The sequence below is a fragment of the Homo sapiens genome, chromosome 7 (assembly GCF_000001405.40).
Source record: "Homo sapiens chromosome 7, GRCh38.p14 Primary Assembly".
Classification (NCBI taxonomy): Eukaryota; Metazoa; Chordata; class Mammalia; order Primates; family Hominidae; genus Homo; species Homo sapiens.
In genome coordinates, this window is record NC_000007.14 from 70,752,476 (window position 1) to 70,768,873 (window position 16,398).

Below are 16,398 nucleotides of genomic sequence, written 5' to 3' on the forward strand. Positions count from 1 at the left end.
CCGTTGATAACTCAGAATAAGATATAGGATATCATCATTAAGTCTGATTATCTAAGCTTATCTGTGAGCCTTACAGAAAACAAAAACGAAAGATCAGGACCACAGGTTCTTTGACTACCATTTCCCTATTTTTTTCATTTGTCCTGAACAGGGCCTAACACAAAGATAGGCACATGAGGCAGGGTAGTACAAATGAGTTTTTCCCCCGTATGAAGTGACAATCACATGGATTATATGTGACCTTGACATTGTTGAGTTTCTAAAGACTTTTTAAGGATGCCATACCCACCCCCAATAGATCACAACCTATTTCTCTCATTCTAATGTTGGTCATTTGATTACATAGTCCTTTGTGGCTCTGTTTGCTTGAGACTGCAAAATAAACAAAATGTTTGCAAGTCCAGGTTGACCCTAAAAGCTCTTCATTCTGTAGGCCAAAGCCATGATTCAGAGAACCTGTGGTCTCCACAGTCAAGATTGTGGTTGATACACCCCCCTTGAAGGCAGATGTTTTGGTTTTAAGGCATCAGGAATGTGGGCATGTGCATCAGGATTGATGTGTTTTGGTGTGGGGTTTAGGAGCAATAAACTTGAAACAAGTTTAAGTACACTCAACTGCGGTGTGTTGCTTTTCCTTTAATCCCTAGCAGATTAACCCCTATCAGGGTTAATCTGCTCAACTAGATGATAGCCAAACTAGCTTCTCTGATAACAGCAGCCTCTAATCCACTGGACTCCACACAGCTCTCCCAGTGGGCTGCTGGTGTTTTGGCAGATGCAATGGCTATTTTTTCCTATTTAGGATTTTGCTTTTAATAGGAACCCTGAAGGCCCTCAGAGGTTTGTGATACAGACTTCAGCCCACAGCTCAGCCTCCCAGATGGTAATTAATGTTTACACAACATGACAAGCACAAAATAGAATCTCTTCGAGCCCTGCCAAGCACCCATCATTCCCCCTGATCTTCCACTCTTGCAGTGTTTGAAAATTAATTTGCCTTGAACAAACAGTGGGTTTTCCTCAATTTATTTGTACAGTTTCAGTGACCAAGAAGAAGAGCTGCAAGACTGAATGTCATCCTTCCATTCGTTCAAGTAATTGAATCTTCTAATGGAACAAACTGGTCTCTGCTTAATGATTTGAAGAAAAGAGGGAGAGGAGGAAAATAAAGTGAAGTGTATGTTAGAGAAAGTGGACATTTTTCTGCAAAACATCACTGAATGTAGAATTTTGGAGATACAATCAAAACTTAGCAGGGGGAATTTAAAGTATTGCTAAATTAACTCAGTAGGGCGGTTGGGGTTTTAATACGTATATACAATGTGCAGTCTTTGCTTAAAAAGAGATTTTGTTTGAGGCAACAGAATAGACAGGTGAAGGTAATTAAATAATGAACATTGGCCGGGCGTGGTGGCTCACGCCTGTAATCCCCGCACTTTGGGAGGCCGAGGCGGGTGGATCACGAGGTCAGGAGATCGAGACCATCCTGGCTAACACGGTGAAACCCCGTCTCTATTAAAAATACAAAAAAAAAAATCAGCCAGGCGTGGTGGCGGGTGCCTGTAGTCCCAGCTACTGGGGAGGCTGAGGCAAGAGAATGGCGTGAACCCAGGAAGCGGAGCTTACAGTGAGCCGAGATCGCGCCGCTGCACTCCAGCCTGGGCGACAGAGCGAGACTCTGTCTCAAAATAGAATAAAATAAAATAAAATAAAATAAAATAATAATGAACATTGATTGGGCAGGGTGGCTCACACCTATAATCCCAGCACTTTGAGAGGCCTAGGCGGGAGGATTGCTTGAGCCTACACGTTAAAGACCAGCCTGTGCAACATGGTGAGACCTCATTTCTACAAAATATAAACAATTAACCAGCATGGTGGCACATGCCTCAGCCTCCCAGCTACTTGGAGACTAAGGTGGGAGGATCATTTGAGTCCGGGGAGTCAAGGCTGCAGTCTGCTGTGATTGCACCACTGCATCCCAGCCTGGGCAACAGAGTGAGACTGTGTCCAAAAAAATAAAATAAAATAGACATTGCTACCAGCTTGAGGTAATTGCATGTTGATTCACAGAAATTTGATATTTCCATATGTCTCTGGGATTGCCAGTGTTTAAACATTTCAGTCCCTTATTAATGTTCGCACTTTAAAGTCTGGGTTAATTTTCTTATTTGACTGTGATCTGTAGTCTTTCTGTGTGGTGTGCTCTTTGTGGCTTTGTCATTTGGACAGTAACGAGAGAAGCTAACTGGAAGATGGAATAATAAAAATAGGACATGTCTCTTTCTAAGTCATAAGGATTAGATATTCAAAAAGATACGGATGAATGGATGATGCATGGATGGATGGATGTTCTAGGAGCTAGTGCCCCCCACATAGTTTTCTTGATGCCTTTGGAAGCTTCTTCAGGTTTGCTGCGGTAATGACCTTGTAGTTAGTAAGTCCTGTTAGGAGACTTCGTAACAGAATATGAAGATGTGAAGACCAGAAGTGCAGAAGCTGTACTTTGGGAGAGTTGGTTTTTTGTGTATTTTTGTTTTTGTTTTGTATTCCTCCTCCTCCTTCATCAATATTCACCCTTTCCTTTCTGTCCAAATAATACCCAGTTAGAACCAGTTAGAAATTCTGAAGAACAGGTGGAAGGTTTAATATGCACCATGTTCTGATGTGTGCCTGTAGTCCCATCTCCTCAGGAGACTGAGTGGGGAGGATCACTTCACCATGTGAGTTTGAGGCTGCAATGGGCTATGATCACTCCAGCGTGGGCGACAGAGCAAGACCCTTTTAACTTTTTTTTTTTTTAAACACATGCACCATATTTTTAAAAATTAAAACTATGCACCATACACAGAGTCAAATATTTATCTGTCCTCTTGGTGAAGAGATTTTTAAAAAATCTATTCAATAGTCCAGGCATGGTGGCTCACGCCTGTAATCCCAGCACTTTGGGAGGCCGAGGCGGGGGTGGATCACTTGAGGTCAGGAGTTCGAGACCAGCCTGGCCAACATGGTGAAACCCCATCTCTACTAAAAACACAAAAATTAGCTGGGCATGATGGCAGGCCCCTGTAATCCCAGCTACTCGGAAGGTTGTCAGAAGAATCAGTTGAACCTGGGAGGTGAGGCAGAGGCTGCAGTGAGCCAAGATTATGCCACTGCACTCCACCCTGGGCGACAGAGTGAGACTCCATCTCAAAAAAAAAATTCAGTAGGTAAGGCAATTTAAAAAGACTTGAACGATCACTTTCTCAGTTGGCTTATTTTAATGGTAGAGGTGTATTGTCCGCGAAAAGAGTTAATTTTAAAATATAGCATCTCTTTTTTTACTTTAACAATAATAATACTCTTATTTACTTTAATAAAAATTTAATAAGTATACTTTACTAATTACAGTAAATAATACTATTATTTAATAACTATATATAATTATTTGCTGTGTTTAATAACAAAGTGAACATTGACTTTAATTTTTATATTGTGCTTAACTTTCCAAATTTTCTATAATATTCATTTGTTTTGCACTTTTCCTCCTCCTCCTCCTCAATTTTGAAAGTTAAAAGCACAATATGAGAATTAAAGTCAATGTTTATTTCTGGATGATGGGACTGCAATTAATGTTTATCTTTCCAGTCTCTTTTCTGTGCATACTTGTATACATTTACACACGTAGTTTTCACTATTGAGATCACACTGATAATAGTGCACTTTATTTAATGGCAATTTTGTCATGAGATATTTTCTGTGACATTAAATACTTCTTCACAATAGTTTTGGGAATATTGATTGATTACTTACTTATTATGTGTTGTGCATTGTGGAAAGCACTTTACATGGCCTAATTTATTTCCACAACCACCCTAGGAGGTTGTTACTGCATTTGTGCAGTAAGTCATTGGACTTTTAGAAGTGTAGGAGTTCATCAGAGTATACCGAATCTCAACCCTACCAGACCCAGCATAATAATAAGAAATATTTTATAGCGCATTCATTTTTTACTTTCTGGAATGAAATAGATACTTAATGTACCCATCTACATACATAATTTAAAAGTATATATAAAGCCCTAATAAAATATAAAGGAGAAATAAGTGGAAACCAAGTCATTTATAATAACATACCTTTAAGTATGTAAGTGCTTGTTTATATTAGAAGACAATGTTTGACTTTATATCTAGAATGGTATCTAAATACTTCTACTACAAATGCAGACTCACACAAATACATGGTCATGGAGATTCAGATACCTGGAGCAGCCTTACCATTGTGTCATGATTTTCCCAAATAGCCATCAACCCTTGCATATGACCCAGATATAACAAAGTACAGTCCCTGCATTCCTGGAAAAATCAGCGTATATTAAAACCCATGCAAAGAATTACTTTGTGTTTATATACAAAAACAGAGGTGGTGGGTTCTAGGGTTTTCAGCTGCACAAATGTCGGGTGGAATTTAGGAAGTGCATTGAGATGTTGTCGTGTGGGGTTGCTGCGCACGTTGCAGCAAATCAGACATCCCTAAGAGCCACCAGTGACCTGCAGTCATAGTGATAGCCACACACTCCCACAAATTTCCATCTCTTCCCATAGGGAGTAGTATCCTCCAATGGGAACTATCTATTACGTGACTGACTTAGTTCGCGCTTTTTTGCACTGAAAAACACTTTGAAAAAAGCAATTTTGTGGGGGAAGCCATTTCTGAAGGTTTACAAGCCCTGTAATTTTCTTGTTAGGTTCATTCCCAGGTGTTATGGTTTTTGTTATTATGAAGTGGATCCTTTCTAAACTTCATTTTCTGACTGTTGCTGGTGTATAGAAAAGCTGAGGTTGGTTGTGGTTTTTCTTTATTTGGATATCTCATTGCACTCTCTTATTAGTTCTAATATTTTCTCAGCTGGTTGCCTCTGTTTTCCAGCTAGGTAATTATATTTTTTGTAAACAGTTTTTCCTCTTTCTTTTGTTGTATAATATTTGCTGTTGGTTTTCAATTTAGTTGACAGGAATAATTTGTTTCTTAAAGGTTTGGCCAACATTGTCTGTGAAACAGATACCTTTTGGGAGGGGAGGTGAAGGTTTGGATTATTGAGTACTTTTTCCTTTTATTTTGATGATCCTGTTGGGTTTTTAAGTCAATTTTAGCAATTTATATTTTTTCATAAAATCCATTTTATTTTCAAATTTATTACACATTCACAGATTACATTTTCTTATTTTTTTATGCATATATACACACACACACACCCCAGTTCCCTGTCTATCCAGTTCTCACTCCTCCCAAGCCCCTAAACAGGTAGTCACTGCTGTTACTGTTTTCTTGAGTATTCTTCCATGGCTTCTTTTTTTTTTTTTTTTTTTTTTTTTGGAAACAGGGTCTTGCTCTGTCACTCAGGCTTGAGCGTAAGTAGTGCAGTCTCAGCTCACTGCACCCTCCGCCCAAGTAGCTGGGATCACAGGCAGACACCACCACACCTGGCTAATTTTTGTATTTTTAGCAGAGATGGAGTTTCACCATGTTGGCCAGGCTGGTGTTGAACTTCTGACCTGAAGTGATCCACCTGCCTCGGCCTCCCAAAGTGCTAGGATTACAGGCGTGAGCCGCTGCGCCCAGCCACACGGCTTCTTTGTACGTAAAATAAGATGAATATATATATTATTTCCCTCCATTTTCCACAAAAGATAGTAAATGCTCTACGTTGTACATTCGGCATTCTTTTTTACAGCTGCAAGGTGTTCCATTGTGTGGATCTGCAAACATACGTAACCAGTCTCCTAATGGTTACATTTAGGTGGCTTCCAAACTTGGTATTCAAACCATGGTACTATTTCATTGTGTCTGTAGACTAAATCCTTAACACACCACACCAAGGGAACTCCATTTGTTATTTTGCTAAACCTCCACAGAGGTTGTAGAGTTTGCATTCTACTAGTAAAGTACAAAAAAAGGGCCCATTTTCCCCAGGCAACTTGTATCAAACCTATATCAAAATGAAACCAATTTTTCCTAATCTCTTAAAGTTTGTTTATTGAGGTACAATTTACATGCAATAAACTCACCCTTTTTACCGTAAAGTACGCAATGTAATTTGAATTTGCATGTATTTTAGTATAAGCATGATGAACTATTTTTATAATCACAAGAAGAGAGAGTTTTAAACCCCAAAATGTAATGAATACAACATTTAAATAAGACTACTCAATTTGTACATTCTTATGTCTTTCAAATTCAGCAACTTTCATTCTTTCCTTTATCCTTTGGCAAATTCAGAGTATGCAGTGCAATACCAAGCGATTTCTTAAAATGTGTTGCTGCCAATTTTGGAGAAGTACAGTAAGACAAATTGACTGTCAAGATGGAAAAGCTTAACTGGGAAGATACATTTATTGAATAATTGAAAGGAAGAGGAAATGCATTACCGATTAGCCACAAAAATGCCTGACGCCTGTGCCTCAAGAGACTCTTGTAAATGGGGAGTCATAAAACTGTTTCAGCCCCCGAAGTTCTTACCAGCTCAAACTCATCACTGCTTTGTTTATAGGTTGCAGTACCAGAGCAACGATGGACTGATTGCTTTCAGGGCTGGCTGAAGTGCAGTGTTACAGCCACTCTTTGTAGCTTTACTAACCCTCTACACTTTAAGTCTGATGTACTTAAATATTTTAACTGAATCCTGGATTTATCATTACCTGCTTTGCTTTGAGACTTCTGCTTTTTAGGAGGCAGCATAGTATAGATTGGAGAAAAGGCAGTTGGTGTTGGCAGAGTTGGGACTGGAACTCAAGCCTTCTGGTTTACAAAACAAGGACGTGACTTCCAGCAAGCAAGTTCCTTCACTTCTCTGGGCATATTCCCTATCTGGTCAGAGAGTGTTAGATTAGATCCTGCTACTCAAAATGTGATCCTCACATCAGCAGCCTCAGCCTTACCTAGAAGATCCTCAGAAAGGCAGAATCTAGAGCCGCATCCCAGAGCTGTGGAATCTGGATGGGGATTCTAATCAGATGTTCAGGTGATTTGAACATGCATTAAAGTTAAAGGAGTGCCGTACAGATTTGCAGGGTTCCCTGGAGAGGTTGGGGTCTTCCCTTCATCTCTGGTAGCTTGTTGGAGGTGGTGCTGACGGCCACAGCCTTGGCACCACTCCTCATGTTCTAGCTGTGGTTAGGTTGAGATTGAGACAGTGAGGCAACAGAGGAGACAAGAAAGTCAACTCCAGTGGCCTTTCCGGGGCCTTGGGAAGCGAGCCCACGCCTGCAGGATGCCATCTGCAAGCTTGGCTGTGTTATCCAAATTCTTGAGGCTCGTTCAAGAACAAGGAGGTAAACAGAGTCAAGCTAGATATCTGTAGTACTTCCTTATGTGTCTCTGATGTGCCTCCTTACCAGCATAAGTAAGTGTGAATGATATACTCCAAGTGGTGTCCTTTGGAAAAGGAAGCTGATTTTGGGAGGGAATTTGAATGTATACTTACCAAGATAGAAAGTATTTATTGATGTCTTCACCAGCCCAGTCTGGAGAAAACAGAGTAATACAAAAAGATTTTTTTTTTTTTTTGAGACGGAGTCTCACACTGTCGCCTAGGCTGGAGTGCAGTGGTGTGATCTCAGCTCACTGCAACCTCTGCCTCCCAGGTTCACGCCATTCTCCTGCCTCAGCCTCCCGAGTAGCTGGGACTACAGGCACCCGCCACCACGCCCGGCTAATTTTTTGTGTTTTTAGTAGAGGCAGGGTTTCACCGTGTTAGCCAGGATGGTCTCGATCTCCTGACCTCGTGATCCGCCCGCCTTGGCCTCCCAAAGTGCTGGGATTACAGGCGTGAGCCACCGCACCCGGCCTACAAAAAGATTTTTAAAAAGTGTTTCTGCCATTGTACCAAGCATAAAAATCCTGAATTAGCTGTCAGTGTGAGAAGAGTCCTGCTCATGTACCTAGAACTTCTCACTGGGTGAAACCCCTCCTCTGTTTTGTGCTGTTAGGATTTCTGGGCTGTTCTTACTTTCTGTCCCAGACCTGACTCAAAGGCCTGGATCATGCATATGAAGCACGTGATTTTTCAATGCCTTTGATAATAGCTTGCTGTGGGAAAATCCTGTGAAAGAAAAATATGGGAAATTTTGTGAAGACACATGGAGAGACACAGAGCTGGATCCCTAACTGTGACATCTCTGAATAAAGGGCCTTCCTTCCTCATTGGATCCAGGAGCTTTGCTAGCTGGATGGGGACCTATCCGCAGCAAGGGCTTGGGGTGCCCCTTTAGCCCTGAAGTTAGGAACAAAGGTTTTGAGAAGCCTTTCAATTTCAGCTTTATCCTAAGCAAAAATCTTCCCAGAAAGGTTGATAAGACAGCACTGGACAGAAATGTCGGAAGTCCAGAGTTACTTTTCATCAGCGCTTTGCCAAGTGCTCGGTCTTTTCATACCTCTGAAGCATGTGAAGAAGGCAGCTTTCTTCCCATCTCGCTGGTGTTATTGTTCCAGGCTGTTTGGAGAGACCTGAAGATAGCCAAGTTCTGTTAGCCAAAAATTTGCTTTGTTTATAAACCCAAGTTTTGTTTTTGCTTTTGTGCATGTTATCGGTTTGATCTGTGTTACCAAAAGAACATTGAAAATAATGAATTGCTTTGATGAGAATTCCAAGGAATAATGGCAAACAAGTGTGTATATACAACAGTACGTAAACAGAAATATGTAAGCCGGGCACAGTGCAGGCACCTCTAATCCTGGCTACCCAGGAGGCTGAGGCAGGAGGATCACTTGAGCCCAGGAGTTGGAGCTGTAGTGTGCTGTGATTACACCTGTGAATATCCAGTACAGTCCAGCCTAAACAACCTGGGGAGACCCCACCTCTAAAACAAAAAACAGAAAACCCCAGAAATACATAGAACCAACAAGAATACCACATACTTTTCCCGTTTGATACAATGAGGTAAGAGGAGAAAGTTAACGCCCAGGGCAGTTCATTTAAGAATGCCTGAAAAACACCTTCATTTCAAAGGATGTTGTCATCTATTCTTTTTCTCTTTTGAAATTGTGTAGTAATAAAAGGATGCATCTTTTCAGCACAAAAATATGGGAAGGATAATTTTCCCCCAGTTGTATACAAAAGTACTTACTCCCAAATGGGGCCATTCTTTTCTATTGAGTGCCCTACTGGTCTTTCGTTATTCTGTTTTGAGATTTTTATGGAGTTTGGCTTATGGGGTAATCAAGCCATTCTACTAAATGTGGCCCTTTTGACCTTTGGAGGGAGATCTTTTGACCTTTGGAGGGAGTACATCTTTTACATCCATACAGGAGCAGCTATTTTCTATATTTCTTTCACGATTGTAGAATTTCACTTAAATTTAATATCCAAGGTTAGTCTCAATGTCCAGCACCCCTTTAACTTGGTTGAGTGGGGAACCCCATGTGGTCCCAGGGGACTTTCTTAAAAGCTCTAGCAAGTGTAGTTGATGGGAAACTTTATTTCAGTTCCCGTTTGCACCTTTGATCTCAGAAGTTGCTGGGATCAGGTGACGGGCATTAAGAGACCTGCCTTTTCACTTGGAAGTTGAGCACTTGCTGAACAAAAAATTATCTGTAAATGTCAAGTGTGTCCCTTTGGTCAAAATGGAAAGTGGGGAGGAAGGGAAGGCCAAGAAAAAACATCCGTGTGATGTTAAATAATGTTTGACTCATTTCAATAGAAAACACTTCTCTTTTGTATGTTCAACAAATGTATTTGTTTTAAAAGGGAAAAATCAACTTGTCAACTATTGTTTCTTAATTGTGATGCCATAAAAGACTTTCTGGAGATTAAGGAAAACATTCATTTTCAGAATGTAGTCTAGGCTGCTGTTTTTTCTCATACAGAGACAGAGTCTCGCTACGTTGCCCAGGGTGCTCTTGAACTCCTGGGCTCAAGCGATCCTTCTACCTCAGCCTCCCGAGTAGCTTGGACTGTAGTACACACCACCACACCTGGCTAATTTTTTTTTTTGTAGAGTCAGGGTCTTGCTATGTTGCCCAGGCTGGTCTCGAACTCCTGGGCTCAAGCAATCCTTCCAACTCGGCCTCTCAAAGTGTTGAGATTACAGGTGTGAGCCCCTATGCCTGGCGCTAGGCTACTTTCTTGAATGCAGTCTCCTCTGGCCAGTTGGCCTTTCTCTCCCTTCCCACACCCCCAGGGTCATTGCTCCCCATGGTCAAAGGCTGTTCCTGCATCTTTCTCTGTCCACCATTGACCCCATTTGCTGTGGGCGCATACCCCCGCAGGTGGTGGAGACAAGGACCCAAGCCAGGAGGGTTGGTGCCAGGTCCTGTTGCTGGAGTTGTGTGATAGCCTTGGAGTTTCCTTTCCCTCCTTATGCCACACTCGCATGTCATTGCCTGTGGTTTTGTCTTTGCTCTCTCCCATGCAGATCCGGAGTTAGGTGTTGGCACGCTACCAGAACATGACAGCCAGGATGCAGGGCCGATTGTCCCCAAGATATCGGGTCTAGAGAGAAGCCAGGAGAAGAGCCAGGACTGTTGCAAAGAGCCAATCTTTGAGCCTGTGGTGCTTAAAGACCCCTGCCCTCAGGTCGCACAGCCAATACCCCAGCCGCAGACGGAGCCCCAACTCCGAGCTCCTTCTCCGGACCCTGACTTGGTGCAGCGCACAGAGGCCCCACCTCAACCCCCACCTCTGAGTACACAGCCACCACAGGGCCCTCCTGAGGCCCAGCTCCAGCCTGCCCCGCAGCCTCAGGTGCAGAGGCCACCCAGGCCACAGTCCCCCACCCAGCTGCTCCATCAGAACCTCCCACCTGTGCAGGCCCACCCCTCTGCTCAGAGCCTCTCCCAGCCATTGTCAGCCTACAACAGCAGTAGCTTAAGCCTCAACAGTTTAAGGTGAGTGGCCTGCTCTTCTTTGGCCTGACTTTTGCCCTCTCCCTGGGGATCAGGTGGGTGGGAGTCGGGGAGGGATCCCTAGGGAGACTGAGGTTTCCTTGTTGGAAACATCATCCTTTTCTCTGAGACTAGAGACAGGGAATGGGGCTGTTGGGTGAGACTCGGGTCTCTTGGGAAAGGACAGGTTGGGATGGGTGGGTGGTGAGGACATTGTAAAGAAGTAAAATATTTATGGGCACTCGAGAGTGGAGGCGGAAGGAGAGGAAGGCTTGGAAAGCCCTGGGCCAGGGAGACCCAGCAGCAGTGGGAGGCAGGGAGTCGAAGCCTGGGGCATATCAGAGGCCATGCAGTGTGAGCAGATCCTTTCAAGAGAGGCTCTCTGCCTCTGATGGAAGAAGTGTTAAAGAAAACTCGTCTCCCTGCAGCTCCAAAGGCAGGAAGATTGGGACCTGATGAGTATTCCAGCTTAAGGATTTTTTTTTTCATTCTGATTTACTTCCTCCTATGTGGGTCAGAGAAGTAGGGAAGAAACAAAACAAGCTGCATTTAGAGAAAGTGAGAAATTTCTTTATGGAAATCCAGGCTCTCTCCTCTGTCTTGTTTTTGCCAAGTTACAAAGAAGCGTCTAAAAAGCAGCACAGAGGAACACAGCAAAGAAAAGAGAGGCAGAAACCCAGTGTGCAGCGCCAAGTAGAGCCGAGCCCTGGTGCCCCGGGGGCTATAATTCTAACCCGGCACAGCTCCTGAGGCTGTGTGTCTTTGTTACTGTTTTTCTTTTGAAAACCTGGTGGCTTTGGTGGTTCCGGGCCTTGCTTTTTCCTAAGAGGGGAAAGCACAGTCTTTGGGGGGCAGGTTTCCTCCTTCCCCAAGGAGCCGGGCCCGGCTTCTGCCCCCTCGGCCGTTTCTGTGGCCTCCAGACCATAAAGTGATGTGAGAACCCAGGCACCTGGGTTTCACCTCTTCTTTGTGTGTCTTCATTTAAGAGGTAACAAGACAGATGGGGGGAACTCAGATCATCGCTTTTTTTATTCCTTTTTGTTAACCGTTGCTTTATAGGAGATGTAGCTAGTGGAGGATGGAAGGCTGGGGATTTTCTAGGGGCATTGATGAGAATCTGGCCACAGGAGCGAGAGAGGCCCTGAGGTTTAGGCAGAATGAGCTGTCTCGACACCAAGATGCCCCACAGCCCTGAAGCAGCAGTTTCGGTTTGCTCTGTCTGCAGTAGCGATGGGAAAGTTTGCAGGAGTTGTGATTTCAGAAAGTGTGCTCGTACAGGGAGGATCTGTAAAGAGGAAGGGGCAAGAGAGACTGTGGTGAGGGTTTAGGGGAAGGAGGTAGGATTCTTTTAAAGAGAATACATTGCTTACCTTTTTTTATTTTTTTCTTTTCTTTTTTTTCTTGTTCCGATAGCAGCAGCAGAAGCAGCACTCCAGCGAAGACTCAGCCCGCCCCACCTCACATCTCCCACCACCCCTCTGCCTCCCCGTTCCCCCTCTCCCTGCCCAACCACAGCCCCCTGCACAGCTTCACACCCACCCTCCAGCCCCCCGCACACTCACATCACCCCAATATGTTTGCCCCTCCCACTGCTCTGCCTCCTCCACCACCACTGACATCAGGAAGTCTGCAGGTGGCCGGACACCCGGCCGGGAGCACTTACTCAGGTAGGACGGAGGGGCCTGTGCTCGTGACCCCGACCCCCACCGCCCCTCGCTGTGACCTCACCCTACCTATGTTGTCCCGATTGCAAGGTTGCATTTGCCTACAATTTTTTCCTTCCTTACTGTGATCTTCCTCAAACGCTCTCTGGCCTGAGGTCCAGCAAAAATACCTGTCAGCACCCATACTAAGCTAGCTCAGCCCCTGTGAATCAGACACTGCCCGAAGAGAGTGGGTTTGTTTGGAGTTAGGAGGCATTTCCAGCTAAATTCAGCCACTGAGTGGTCAGACCCAGGTAGTGTGTCCCGTGTCGTCTGGGCTCCCCTGAGGGCGATGGAAGCGTCCCCAAGCCCATGTCTGTCTCGCTCCAGGATCTTAGATTGTGTCCTGGTTTAAGGGGTTTCTTTTCATTGGGCAGGGCAGGGCCTTCTCCTGTCTCCTTGGGAGGAGATGACACACTCTTTGTGACAATATATCCCAGAATTTTAAGGGCAGATCTCATGTTAGACACAGGGTCCTTGTCTCCTCACCTGTGTTAATCAGGTCAAGCGTCCCAGTTTTGGTCCAGTGTAGCCATGTTATGCCGCCAATACAGAGAGCCATATAGCAGTAATTGACACTTGAAGAGGACATGCGAGCCCTGCCGTGTGAACAGCTGACATTTATTAGTGTGCTATCACTGTTCCCAAGCACTTAAACGTGCAAATTGCTTTAACCCTCAAAAATCAAACCCATGAGTTAGGCAATATTATTGTCCCCCTCTTGGAGATGGGAAAACTGGCCCTCAGATGGGTTATTTGCCATGCCCAGGGTCACTCAGCCAGTGGTGACAGCTGGAAATCGGACTTTGGCATTTGGCCTGGAGTTTGTTCCCCAGATTGATAGACTGCCTGTCCCTGAAAGCTGGGAGACCAGCTAGAGAACAGGGAGACAGGGTGCGACCGGGCCTTGGTCTCGTCTGCTTCATTGATTGCCCCCGTTTATCTCAGGGCCCAGCCACACCCTGTCACCCCTGCCACTGTGTCACCAGCCCCGTACCCCTCCACAGGAAGGCAGTCCGATGTCCTTTTCTGAAGGAAAAGGCGTCATCGTCTCCCTCTTCTTCTCTTCCAGAGCAAGACATCTTGCGACAGGAACTGAACACTCGTTTTTTGGCCTCTCAGAGTGCTGACCGCGGGGCTTCCCTGGGCCCTCCGCCCTACCTGCGGACCGAGTTCCATCAGCACCAGCACCAGCACCAGCACACCCACCAGCACACGCACCAGCACACCTTCACGCCGTTCCCCCACGCCATCCCACCCACCGCCATCATGCCGACGCCAGCACCTCCCATGGTGCGTACCCCAGGCAGAAATGTGAGGATAAGTAGAGCACGACTCTTTTCTTTATGCAGCACGTGGGACCGGGCTGGGCAGCGGGGCCACCAGAGATCGAATGGGGACTGACGGCTGTTGGCTGGAGAGAAGGGAATGTGTCCTAGTGCCCTGCCTCAGGCAGCTCTGACTTCAGGGGCCTAAAGTAGGAACTTCTTTCTAGGCAGTTGTATCCAGCACTGCGGGCGGAAATGATTCCATCTGCCCTCAAAACAGTCATGTCCAGTGTTGATGGCTAACTTCTTAAAGGGTTGTTTAGTTTTCTTGAACTTCCCGGGGGACTGTCACCAGGCAGAAAATGCACCTGCTTGTGCTTTGCATCAAGTGCTAGCACATACATTCTTGCAGGGTAATGGGGGTGAAGAAGAGAGAAGAGAAGGGAGAGAGACCTCTGCCAGGAGGCTGGGACTGCATTGGGTGCCACCTGTGCATTCCGATGGCTTCCCTAAACCCACTTTGTTGGAGGTGTTATATTTCTTGTGTTTCATAAGACAGTCCCTAATCTGGTATTGTGCTCTGTCAGCCAGTGTTCAGGGATCCCCGCAGGGACAGAACGCTCTGCCTTGGGGCAAGAGGAACCACTGGCCATGACATGGTCTTGCTTTAACTGGGGGCTAGCACATGTCCAGAACCAGTGAGGAATTTTTTTTTAAGTTAATAACGATAATTCATAGTGCCATATTAGAATGCTAAATATTCTCAGATAGAGTCCTGTCTAACAGTGAGTATTAGAGTCATTTTTTACTTATTTAATTTTTAATATTTCAGGAAATACTGGATTTTAAGGCCATTACTATAGGCATTGTGAGAATAAATTGCATGATTTTAAAAGGAGTCCACTTCACCCAACTTTGCTTCCTCTCCTTCCTCTCCCTCCCCCCATCTTGTTTAACTTACTTTTTAAAAATGTGTTTTTAAAGTTTGTTTTATAAATTTCATTTCAAGGAATATTAGCAATGAGGCCTTGTGACCAGAAATATGTTCTTAATAGCAAATCCTGTATCTCTTTTTTGGATGAATTATACTTAACAATTAGATTTTGAAGATCCTAAGATTTTGAGAAAGTTTTCTGCTGGCCTGTGTGAGCTGTTTCACAAATAAATTTAACCAAAGGTAGTTATAGCATCAATATGATGACATTATTTAGAGGGAACAATAGTATACTCTTTTTCTGTTCCAATGAAAGGCTGTCTGGCCTACCCCAGATCACTTTGTATTTGGGTATAATACATTTCAGAAGACAGCTGCATGGCAAGACAGTTTTTCTGCCAAAGTGAAGATGAAAATAGGGGGAATTCACTGGGTAAATCAGACCAAATGCTCACCTCTCTCTGATTTATCTGGATAATTGGCTGTTCTCTCCTGTTTAGAGGTTTGGTTCGTGCCAATCTGTAGAAAGAAAATAGTAGGAAGAAAGGCATCCTAGTACGTGCAGAACTAAAACGTACCACTTGGTTTTTAATTTTGTTCTTCCATTTCTGTTGGCTTCTTGTCAGGGAGACTCAGGAGCTCAGAATGGTTTCATATGTAATGAGGTTATGGGGTCTCATGACAGCTTAATGACAGGGAAGCTTTGTAGGGCCACCTCCACTGTAGCAGTGAACAAAAATGCAGATTAAGTAACTAGCTTTTGCTTTGATCCCTTTACAGTTTGACAAATACCCTACAAAAGTTGACCCATTCTACCGGCACAGTGTGAGTTTCATTACCATGCTACACATTGAATGTAACTGCTTTGCCATTTTTGTGCTCTTGCCACAGATCAGTCAATGACTAGCAGCCTTCCTTAATCATCTTTGCAAGAGTTCCCATTGCTCCTCGCCACTTTGGATGCTTGCTTTTGTGGTGTTTTGCTTTTGGTAAAGATGCAGTATCATCTTCTGAATCAAAAGATCATAAGCATTCCAAAGGCTTGAAAGCAGAGTTGCTCTTTAGTGGCAGTCAGGCATCTGTCCTGCAAAGTGAGATGTCTGCAATGGAGTCAGTAGAGTTCCAGGAGAGTCTGAAATCACAGCATTTCAGTCGTCAGTTGAAATGCCACTAACACAGAAGTTCTGGAATGCAACCTGAATTATTTCCTCTTAAATAGAAAGTCCCTTGTCTTTTTGACTCATGACTCTTCAACAAGTAGATTTTCATTTGCTCTAGACTAAATGTAGAACCTTCTTCCACATGGCTGGTATTGTTCTGTTGAGTTTGTTACAATAGAAAGTAAAAATATCACTTAATTAAAAGAAACTCCCAAAATTGAAATGAGTGATATTTTCTCTTTAAACTCATTCTCCTTTATTTAAAAAAAATAAAAAAAACTTGTTTTATGCCATTTTAAGAGTATGTTCTGGAACTTCAATTGATAACACCCTAAGTTATAGGTTCAGTTAACTTGTAAGACAAGAGCTTATTTTTATTCAAAGACCTTGAATATTTCCATGATATTTTGATGATGGGGTGAATACTGCATCATTTTTATCTGAAAATTTGCAAGTTTCTTTGCCAGTGA

General features: G+C 43.9%; 1 protein-coding gene across 28 annotated transcripts in view, besides 3 other annotated features; it reads left to right on the forward strand.

The window, feature by feature from the left end:
• Positions 1-16,398, forward strand: part of AUTS2 (activator of transcription and developmental regulator AUTS2) — a 1,195,032-nt gene that overhangs the window by 1,154,001 nt on the left and 24,633 nt on the right. For 7 of the 28 annotated variants that reach the window (NM_015570.4, NM_001127231.3, XM_047420157.1 and 4 more), the window contains 4 exons: positions 10,395-10,866; positions 12,277-12,530; positions 13,639-13,859; positions 15,549-15,593. In NM_015570.4, the coding sequence (NP_056385.1) occupies positions 10,395-10,866; positions 12,277-12,530; positions 13,639-13,859; positions 15,549-15,593 (992 nt within the window). Of the gene's footprint in view, positions 1-10,394; positions 10,867-12,266; positions 12,531-13,638; positions 13,881-15,548; positions 15,594-16,398 lie in introns of those variants that run through there. The other 21 variants (XM_047420154.1, XM_047420156.1, XM_047420158.1 and 18 more) reach the window with 6 other exon arrangements.
• Positions 9,811-10,522: an enhancer, noted in NCBI's record as "H3K27ac-H3K4me1 hESC enhancer chr7:70227272-70227983 (GRCh37/hg19 assembly coordinates)". NCBI's record gives its function as "activates a minimal SCP1, AML or CMV promoter by ChIP-STARR-seq in naive H9 embryonic stem cells {active_cell/tissue: H9 hESC(naive)}" and the evidence as "EXISTENCE:reporter gene assay evidence [ECO:0000049][PMID:30033119]".
• Positions 11,565-11,934: an enhancer, noted in NCBI's record as "active region_26112". NCBI's record gives its function as "activates an Ori minimal core promoter by ATAC-STARR-seq in GM12878 lymphoblastoid cells {active_cell/tissue: GM12878}" and the evidence as "EXISTENCE:reporter gene assay evidence [ECO:0000049][PMID:35858748]".
• Positions 12,175-12,224: a silencer, noted in NCBI's record as "silent region_18234". NCBI's record gives its function as "represses an Ori minimal core promoter by ATAC-STARR-seq in GM12878 lymphoblastoid cells {active_cell/tissue: GM12878}" and the evidence as "EXISTENCE:reporter gene assay evidence [ECO:0000049][PMID:35858748]".